Below are 10,097 nucleotides of genomic sequence, written 5' to 3' on the forward strand. Positions count from 1 at the left end.
CCAGGACTCTGAGGCTGCAGTGAGCTATGATCACACCACTGTACTCCAGCCTGGGCAAAAGAGTAAGACTCTGTCTCTAAAAAAGTAAAAAGAAAAGATGTCATGTCTTGGCGGGGCGCGGTGGCTCATGCCTGTAATCCCAGCACTTTGAGACGCCAAGGCAGGCAGATTACTTGAGGTCAGGAGTTTGAGACCAGCCTGGCCAACATGGTGAAACCCCGTCTCTACTAAAAATACAAAAAAATTAGCTGGGCGTGGTGGCGGGCACCTGTTACTCAGGAGGCTGAGGCAAAAGAATTGCTTGAACTCAAGAGGTGGAGATTGCAGTGAGCTGAGATTGTGCCACTGCACTTCAGCCTGGGCAACAGAGTGAGACTCCGTCTGAAAAAAATAACATAAAATAAAAAAGAAAAGAAAATATGTCACATCTTTTTTTTTTTTTTTTTTTTTTTTTTTTTTTTTTTGAGACGGAGTTTCACTCTTGTTGCCCAGGCTGGGGTGCAATGGCGCAATCTCGGCTCACTGCAAACTCCGCCTCCTGGGTTCAAATGATTCTCCTGCCTCAGCCTCCCGATTAGCTGGAATTACAGGTGCGCACCACCACACCCAGCTAATTTTGTATTTTTAGTAGAGATGGGGTTTCTCCATGTTGGTCATGCTGCTCTCGAACTCCCAATCTCAGGTGATGCACACCCCTTGGCCTCCCAAAGTGCTGGGATTGCAGGCGTGAGCCACCATGCCCGGCCGATTATGTCACATCTTGTCCCTCCTTTACTCAAAACTTTCCTGTAGTTTCCTAAGTCTTACCAAGGGTTCAAGGCCCTATATCATCTGCATTCTCTCTCCTGCCTCGTAGCTTCATGTCTATTATCTCCTATGTATCATCTGTTCCAGTCACATTGGCAACTTCAGTTTGTTGCCCATTTCTTTTTTTTTTTTTTTTTTTTTGAGATGGAGTCTCGCTCTGTCACCCAGGCTGGAGCACAGTGGCATGATCTGGCTGGACTGCAGTGCAGTGGCGATATCTCGGCTCCCTGCAACCTCCGCCTCCCAGATTCAAGCGATTCTCCTGCCTCAGCCTCCCGAGTAGGTGGGACTACAGGCATGTGCCACCACGCCCGGCTAATTTTGTATTTTTAGTAGAGACGGGGTTTCACCATGTTGGTCAGGCTGGTCTCGAATTCCTGACCTTGTGATCTGCCCGCCTCGGCCTCCCAAAGTGCTGGAATTACAGGGGTGAACCACCGCACCCGGCCTTGTTGCCCATTTCTAGTACACTTCTGTTTTAGGCCTTTGCTATTTCCTCTATCCAGAATTCTCTCCCATAGACATATCTCATGGTTCACTTCCTAAATCCAGTCAGATCTCTGCTCAAAGTTCATCCTAGTCACTCATTCATTTGTTCATTCCAAATGGTAGGCACTGTCATAAGTCCTAAAGATACAACAGAAAACTAAACAAAGTCCCTGCTCTTGTGAAAAGGAAAAAACATTCTACTGGAGGAGAGAGAAACAATAAAATAGGAGGTCATGTATCACTATAAGTGCTATTAAAAAAACAAATACAGGGCAGGGAGCGGTGGCTCACGCCTGTAATCCCAGCACTTTGGGAGGCTGAGGCGGGCGGATCACAAGGTCAGGAGATCCAGACCATCCTGGCTAACATGGTGAAACATCATCTCTACTAAAAATACAAAAAATTAGCCGGGTTTGGTGGTGGGTGCCTGTAGTCCCAGCTACTCGGGAGGCTGAGGCAGGAGAATGGTGTGAACCCGGGAGGTGGAGCTTGCAGTGAGCTGAGATCGCGCCACTGCAGTCCGAGATTGCGCCACTGCAGTCTGGCCTGGGTGAAAGAGCGAGACTCCATCTCAAAAAATAAACCAAACCAAACAAAACAAAAAAAACAAATACAATTAGCCGGGTGTGAAGTCGCGCGCCTGTAGTCCCAGCTACTCAGAAGGCTGAGGTGGGAGGATTGGTTGAGCGCAACCAAGCAGGTGGAGACTGCAGTGAGCTATGATTGTACCACTGCCCTCCAGCCTGTGTGACAGCACAAGACTGTCTCAAAAAAAAAAAAAAAAAAAAAGAAAAAGAAAAAGAAAATGTAAAAGAGAACACGGGGATTCTACACAAGATGTTCAGAGGAGACTTTCAGATAAGATCAACTTTGTCTTTGCTCCATTGCTAACTGGGTGCCCTCAGAGACCCAGATTCTTCACCTTATCCAGGCTGTAAAAGGAGTTGAAGATTCGATGCAATTAAAGTGGCAGGGTTTAGCAAATCCTTTTTTAAAATATATAATTACTCAAACAACATGGGTTTGAAATCAGCAAATCTTAATTCCCTGTGCAAATGTGAGTGATTTCCCACGTCCCTCACAGGAAGGTGAGAAACAGGAGGCAAGACTTAGTCTGGAGTCCCAGATGGGAGGAACCTCCAACCCATAGAAAACAGACTTTGAGCCTGGGGAAGGAACAGTGGCTCTCATGCACTTTGGGAGGCTTAAGTGGGAGGATCGCTTGGGCCCAGGAGTTCGAGAACAGCCTGCAGAACATAGCGAGATCGTCTCTACAAAAAATTACAAAAAGCCAGGCATGGTGATGCACGCCTGTAATCCCAGCTACTCGGGAGGCTGAGGCAGGAGAATCGCTTGAACCCAGGAGTTGGAGGCTGCAGTGAGCAATGATAGCGCCACTGCACTCCAGCCTGGGCGACAGAGTGAGACTCTGTCTCTAAAAAAGCAAAAAAGAGGGCGGGCACGGTGGCTCACGCCTGTAATTACAGGACTTTGGGAGGCTGAGGCAAGTGGATCGCCTGAGGTCAGGAGTTCGAGACCAGCCTGACCAACATGGTGAAACCCCGTCTCTACTAAAAATACAAAGAATTACCCGGGCGTGATGGCGCACGCCTATAATCCCAGCTACTCGGGAGGCTGAGACAGGAGAATCGCTTGAACCCTGGAGGCGGTGGTTGCAGTGAGCCGAGATCGTGCCATTGCACTCCAGCCTGGGTGACAGAGCGAGACTTCGTCTCAAAAAAAAAAAAAAAAAAGCAAAGAAAACAGGCTTGGTTCCTGCAGAGGCTTCTAGAGCCTGGAATGAAGAGGAGGAAAAGGGCTTCCCGGTGGGAGATTGACTTGGACCATCTCAAGAATAGGGAGGAAAGAACAAAGCCCAGTTCGAAACCCCGCCCCCGGTTCTCTGAGTTACTTCAGGGCTCGAGTTCGAGCCAGTACAACTGTTACGTCACCGGAATCCAGCCAATCGCAGACGACAGAAGGAGGGCGTTGTTTGGTCTTTCAGCACACCAATCGGCGTATAGTTACGGCAGAAACAAAGACGTCCTAGCCAATGACAGAGGCCGTACGGCGGAAGTATAGAAAAGGACTCTCTGGAACATGGCAACATTAATCTGACCACAAGCTGACTGGCAGGTGCTTTAACCACAAGGTGGGCATCCTAACGCGAGCGACCGTTTTGAGGCAGAAGCCCGATGGGGCCCGTGTCCGAGCTTAGGGAGGGGCCGGAGACGCAAACACAGGTCTCCCAGGAAGCAGGCGGCGTCACAGGTCGCTCTGCAGGCGCCCGCTGCAGCGGGCGGAGTCTGGCTGGAGAGAGGAGGCGGGCGTCCGGGAACGCCCGGAAGGGGCGAGGCCAGCGGCGGGGCGGGGCTTATGGAGATCGTGAGCTGGGCGTGAGGAGAAGGCCGGGTTGGGAGCTGCGAGGGGCCGGGTTTAGCGGGGTGGGCGTGGCCGTCGAGGTGGGGCTCGGCGGGTCCGAAGGAACCTGGGGCAGAGCTGGAAGAGGAAAGGTCTTGGGGGCCCTGGGCCTGGGTCTGCGGGAGCCCCATCTAGCGGGGTTCCAAGGCGGCGGCGGCATCAGTCGAGGCCCTGCTCCGGGAGCTCATCTTGTCCCCTTTCGCCCCTCACGCCCCCCAGCTCTGACTCCAGGCCCTGTCCCCTGAGCTCTGCCCTCGGATGTCCGACCGCCCAGAGCCTGCATGCGCCGTGGGGCGCCCCAGGACCAGGAGCTGGTGGGTCCGGGGCCCCCTGGGCGGGGGTCCCGGGGCGCCCCTCCTCCCTTGGGACCCGTTGTCCCGGTCCTGGTCTTTCCCCCGGATCTAGTATTCAGGGCGGACCAGCGGAGCGGACCCCGACAGCTGCTGACCCTCTATAACCCCACAGGAACTGCGCTTCGCTTCCGAGGTAAAGGGATCGGCGCCTCGTGGGGGCTGGTGGCCGGACACTGGGGGGTTGTGTTGGCTGGAGGAGTCAGATGGGTAGGGTTGCACGTCCAGCTTTGGTGGACTGGGAAAGTCATGTCCAGCCTCCGGGGCAGAAGGCAGAGGGGACTTAAATGACCCACATGGCAGGGCTTGTCTGTGTGTGTCTCTATCCCCCAGTCCTGTGCACAGCACCTGCCAAATACACGGTGTTTGACGCAGAGGGATATGTGAAGCCCCAGTCTTGCATTGACATGTGAGTGAGCTGGGAGGGTGGGGAGGCTTGTGGAAGCCAGGGGTCGCTGCCACCTGTTGTCTGAGGTCTGAGACCTTGCCCCCTTTAACCTATTTGCCCTATCCTCTGCCTGTGCCCCTAAGGGAGAGACTTCTGGGGGGAGGCCCAGATTTCCTTGGATTACTGCCTCATTCACCCCAATGGGCTTCTCTCCTACCTTGGGACCAGTGTGATTCGCCATGTGGCACCCATTCCCAGCCACTATGATGTCCAGGACCGCTTCCGCATTGAGCTGTCTGAGGAAGGAGCTGAGGGCCGAGTGGTGGGACGCAAGGACATTACCTCCATTCTGAGAGCCCCAGCGTACCCCCTTGAGCTTCAGGGACAGCCAGATCCAGCGCCTCGCCCAGGGCCTCCTGCTGGGACACCACCACCCACGGCCAGACACTTCCAGGAGCGTGAGTTGGGAGACTGGGATCTTGAGTTCTGTAGGGAGGGAGGAACTAGCATTTCCCTAGAGATGAGATAAATTGGATTTGAAGAAGTCTCCTGGTTCAGTCTTTTGTCTTTTGGTGGAAACATTCCTCCGAGTTGAGATTTTATATCAGGTGAGGGGGAAAAGACTTACAGCTTCCCTGGTTTCTGACTTCTACTTAGAGGAAAAAGTTCTTCCTTGACTGTAACCGCAGTACTTCCTATCATGTGGTAGCTCAGTTCAGTTCAATAAGAAACCTGTATTGAGCAATTAACCCTGTACCAAGTTGTGTGCTGGGTATGAGATCAAGAGAGGTCCCTGCCTGTCGGATAGGTCCACAGAAGAGAGAAAATGAATGCTGAGGGACTGGAGGAGAGAGTTCTTGTGGTGGTGGGGACAGAGGCTGTAGGAAGGAGAGGACACTTGCAGTGTACCCCTGGAGGGCAGTAAAAAGTAGATACAGGGTGTGATGGCTCACGCCTATAATCCCAGTGCTTTGGGAGGCTGAGGTGGGCTGATAACCTGAGGCCAGGAGTTCAATACCAGCCTGACCAACATGATGGAACCCCGTCTCTACTAAAAACACACAAAAATTAGCTGGGAGTGGTGGCTCGCACCTGTAATCCCAGCTAGTCGGGAGGCTAAGGCAGGAGAATCACTTGAACCTAGGAGGCAGAGGCTGCAGTGAGTCAGGATTGTGTGGCTGCACTCCAGCCTGGGTGCAACAGAGTGAGACTCCGTCTCAAAAAAAAAAAAAAGTAGATACAGGGTGTGGTGACTCACACCTATAATCCCAGTGCTTTGGGAGGCTGAAGTGGTGGGAGGATTGCAATTGCTCGAGGCCAGGAGTTCAAGATCAGCTTGGACAACATAGCAAGACCATCTACAAACAACTTAAAAATTAGCCGGGCATGGTAGCATGAACCCATAGTCCCAGCTACTTAGGAAGCTAAGGCAGGAGGATCACCTGAGGCCAAGAGTTCCAGACCAGCCTGGACAACGTAGTGAGACTCCATCTCTACAAAAAATAAAAGATAATTAAAAAAAAAAAGTAGATACATCTTCCTTGTTCAGGCTTCTCCCTGGAGGACCTGGGCTGGGCAGGAGTGGGGGCTGCAGCATCTGATGAGTCTTGTTTCTCAGACCCCCGCCAGCAACTGGCCACCAGCTCCTTCCTCCTCTTCTTGCTGACGGGGATTGTGTCTGTGGCCTTCCTGCTGCTCCCACTCCCGGACGAACTCGGCAGCCAGCTGCCTCAAGTCCTGCACGTCTCCCTGGGACAAAAGTTGGTGGCCGCCTACGTCTTGGGTGAGGACAGTAGTGGCCAGGGACCCAGGCCCCAGGAAAAAGGGAGAAGGGACGGGAGGAGAGCTAACAGAGCCCCAGGGCTGCCCATGCGACCCTATTCTTTCTTTGTCCCCCCTCCAGGCCTCCTCACCATGGTGTTCCTCCGGACCTGAGCTCCGTGCTCAACCCCCAGCCCACCCCACCCTCCCTGGGCAGGGTCTTGAGGCAGCCACTGTGATGCTCATACCTTACCTTGCCTCCTACCCTCTTCTCTTTCCTGCCTACTCCCCACTCCTCCCTGACAAAAAACACCCAGGGATTTGTACTCATTTTCCAAGTTGAATAAAATACATTTTTAAAATGATAATCAGAAATGTAGGGTACTTGCCCCTGTCTTCCCACTTCTTTTTTGGTACTCAGACATCCTCTAGTTCTCCCACCCCTGTTCCCAGGGGACCCAGGCACTTGGGGCAGTGATGAGGCCCAGCGAGGATTTAGAAGAGTTAGGTCACTCCTGGTGCTTGCGCTGAAAAACTATGTGACCATGAGCAAATTATTTAATTTCTCTGAGCTGTAGATTCTACCTACAAAATGAGAGCATTGGGCAAGTTGATTCTCAAGATCCCCTTCAGCCCTGGAATAGGATCCTGTCCCTAAGCCAATGTATTAACCTAAAAAGAAATGAATGAAAATACCACCTAATCCTGCCTGCGGTGGAACTCCTGTCCCACCATCTGGAGGCAACAAAGCCTTTCACCAGGGTTACCTGGGTGTTTACAACCCCTAGAATCCTTTTCTGCCTTTTGGACCCTATATCTGTTTTCCTGGGTCTTTCCTTTAAGACTTCAACTCCCTTGGCTGGGCACAGTGGCTCATGCCTGTAATCCCAGCACTTTGCAGGGCCGAGGCGAGTGGATCACTTGAGGCCAGGAGTTCGAGACCAGCCTGGCCAACATGGTGAACTCTTGTCTCTAAAAATACAAAAAATACACCCAACATGGTGAAATTTTGTCTCTAAAAATACAAAAATTAGCTGGACATGGTGGTAGGTGCCTGTAATCCCAGCTACTCAGGAGGCTGAGGTAAGAGAATCATTTGAACCTGAGAGGTGGAGGCTGCAGTGAGCTAAGATTGTGCCATTGCACTCCAGCCTGGGCAGCAGAGCAAGACTCCATCTAAAAAAAAGAAACAAGGCTTCAACTCCCATGGATCAGAAACACCAAAGTCCCTACCAATATGGGGGAAATAGTATTGCTTGACATAACCTCACCTTAACCAGGAAAAAAAAAAAAAAAGAAAAAACTAGGGTACAGGAAAAGAATAAGATTTACAAAAGCAAGCTTCCAGCTCACCTGCCCTCCTTCAGGTGCAGGGTGAGGAGAAACAGAGGAAGAGGGAGAATGGCCAGGCTCAGTGGCTCACATCTGTAATCCCAGTGCTTTGAGAGACCAAGGTGGGAGGATTGCCTGAGCCCAGGGTTTCAAGACCAGCCTGGACAACATAGCGTAGACCCCATTTCTACAAAAAAAATAAAAAGGAGGGAGAGCCAGTGACTCTGGGCAGATGGTTGACTGGGAACAAAGATCAGCAAGATATTAAGACAGACCCAGGCTGTCACAGCACTGGAAGGTGATCAGTTGTTCCAGCTTTACTTTAGGGGCATTGGGACCTGCTCCACTACCCTGGGAGTCTTCTCCCTCTCACACCCAGAACTGGCTCCAGTGGGGTGTGGCCCTGATACTGCATGGAGAATGGGTGTGCCGTTTGTGTCCAGGAGTCTGGGGACAGCTCTTGCCATAGCCCAGGAAACCCCTTTGCTAAATTACATGTGTATGGAAGATATCCGTTCACACCAGTCTGGATGCGCCCAGGTCCCCAAAACGCATTCGAGGTGCCACATAGGTTAATGGTCTTGTGAGTACTTGTGAAAAGACCTTGTTACTGGTGTGGTCAAGAAGGCTTTCTGAGGGGCTGGGGGCAGGGGCTCACGCCTGTAATCCTAGTGCTTTGAGAGGCCAGAGCAGGAGAAGAGCTTGAGGCCAGAAGTTCAACACTAGCCTGGACAATATAGCAAGAGCCTGTCTCTAAAAAAAAATTTTTTTTTTTTGAGATGGAGTCTCGCTCTGTCGCCCAGGCTGGAGTGCAGTGGTACAATCAAGGCTCACTGGAACCTCCACCTCCTGGGTTCAAGTGACTCTCCTGCCTCAGCCTCCTTTGTAGCTAGGACTACAGAGGTGCGCCACCACCCCTGACTTATTTTTGTATAATTATAGAGAGGGCTTCACCATGTTGGCCAGGCTGATCTCAAACTCCTGACCTCAGGCCCACCTCAGCCTCCCAAAGCGCTGGGATTACAGGCATGAGCCACCACACCTGGCATTTTTTTTTTTTTAATTAGCCAGGCATGGTGGCTCACACTTGCAGTCCCAGCTACTCAGGAGGCTGAGGTGGGAGGATCTCTTGAACCCAGGAGTTTGAGGTTGCAATAAGCTATGATTGCAGCACCGCACTCCAGCCTGGGCCACATAGTGAGACTCTATCTCTACAAAACAAAAACTTAGCTGGGCGTGGTGGCTCATGTCTGCAATCCCAGCTACTCTGGAGGCTGAATTAAAATTAAAAATTTCCGATAAGTAAGGAAACAAACCAAAAGATCCTTAATTCACCCATCTCAAGATCACATGTGCAATGTCCGTTTTAGGGACTTCATTCACAGGTTTCAGGGATTACGATATGGACATTTTTGTCCAGATCATTATTCTGTCTACCACAGGGAGAAATGGACAAAGTGAAGAAGGGTTGAGAAGGTGCTTTGGGACACTTGTCTGGACTGTATCTCAGGGAAGCAAATAGCTCAGGAGGTTTCTGATCCTAATTCAGGGTTCTGAGAACTCAACAAGTCAAGCTTAGGGGGCTAAGGAGGGTACAGTTGCATCCTGAAATCCAGAGCCCTGTGGCATCCCAAGCCTTAGACCAAGAAGCTTTTACTTCCCAGTGTCTTGAAGAGCTGTCAAGACCACAGCCTCCTGAAGCTGTGATTAAAGGCACACGGTGCCAGCAGCACTTAGAATTCCCTGCCTCCAGTAGCTTACACTTCAGTGTCTCCACCCTCACTGGACAAAGACTGGTCAAAGGGGATCCTGGCCAGGCATGGTGACTCACACCTGTAATCCTAGCACTTTGGGAGGCCAAGGAGGGCAGATCATGAGGTCAGGAGTTCGAGGCCAGCCTGGCCAACATGGTGAAACCCTGTCTCTGCTAAAAATACAACAACAACAACAAAAAATTAGCTGGGCGTGGTGGCGGGCACCTGTAATCCTAGCTACTAGGGAGGCTGAGGCAGGAGAATTGCTTGAACCTGGGAGGCAGAGGTTGCCATGAGCCGAGATCGCGCCACTGCACTCTACCTGGGGCAACAGTGCGAGACTCCGTCTAAAAAAAAAGGAGGCGGGGGGATCCTGGAGGATGTTCCAGGCAGGGCCAATCATCTAATGTGTGTAACCACTGTTGGAGTCTTACAGGGCCCCATGCTCAGAAGGGGGTTCTGTGCTTGGGGTTTAATGCTCTGAGATTGTTATGTTGACATTCTTTTTCTTTTTCTTTTTCTTTTTTTTTTTTTTTTGAGACAGGGTTCCACTCTCCCACTCTGTTGCCCAGGCTGGAGTGCAGTGGCATGATCTTGGCTCACTGCCACCTCCGCCTCCCAAGCTCAAGCAATTCTCCCACCTCAGCACCCTAGAGTAGGTGGGACTACAGGTGCACGCCACCACACCTGGCTAATTTTTTTTTTTTTTTTTTTTTGAGACAGAGTCTCGCTCTGTTGCCCAGGCTGGAGTGCAGTGGTGCGATCTTGGCTCACTGCAAGCTCCGCCCCTCGGGT

The 10,097-nt window shown here is 51.6% G+C and overlaps 1 protein-coding gene across 7 annotated transcripts, besides 2 other annotated features; it reads left to right on the forward strand.

Moving 5' to 3' along the window:
* Positions 3,340-3,609: an enhancer, noted in NCBI's record as "active region_26377". NCBI's record gives its function as "activates an Ori minimal core promoter by ATAC-STARR-seq in GM12878 lymphoblastoid cells {active_cell/tissue: GM12878}" and the evidence as "EXISTENCE:reporter gene assay evidence [ECO:0000049][PMID:35858748]".
* On the forward strand, positions 3,369-6,584 carry MOSPD3 (motile sperm domain containing 3). Of its 7 annotated transcripts, none has more exons than NM_001040097.2 (6): positions 3,369-3,448; positions 3,937-4,203; positions 4,401-4,476; positions 4,684-4,913; positions 6,074-6,238; positions 6,359-6,584. In NM_001040097.2, exons 2-6 carry the CDS (start codon positions 3,999-4,001, stop codon positions 6,388-6,390), a joined length of 708 nt encoding a protein of 235 aa, NP_001035186.1. In that variant the 5' UTR covers positions 3,369-3,448; positions 3,937-3,998; the 3' UTR covers positions 6,391-6,584. The 7 variants fall into 7 exon arrangements, with proteins under 7 accessions (NP_001035186.1, NP_001350345.1, NP_001035187.1 ...); NM_001363416.1 differs by lacking the exon at positions 3,369-3,448 and adding an exon at positions 3,589-3,681; NM_001040098.1 differs by lacking the exon at positions 3,369-3,448 and adding an exon at positions 3,637-3,692.
* Positions 3,730-3,789: a silencer, noted in NCBI's record as "silent region_18450". NCBI's record gives its function as "represses an Ori minimal core promoter by ATAC-STARR-seq in GM12878 lymphoblastoid cells {active_cell/tissue: GM12878}" and the evidence as "EXISTENCE:reporter gene assay evidence [ECO:0000049][PMID:35858748]".

This window comes from Homo sapiens, chromosome 7 (assembly GCF_000001405.40).
Source record: "Homo sapiens chromosome 7, GRCh38.p14 Primary Assembly".
Lineage (NCBI taxonomy): Eukaryota > Metazoa > Chordata > Mammalia > Primates > Hominidae > Homo > Homo sapiens.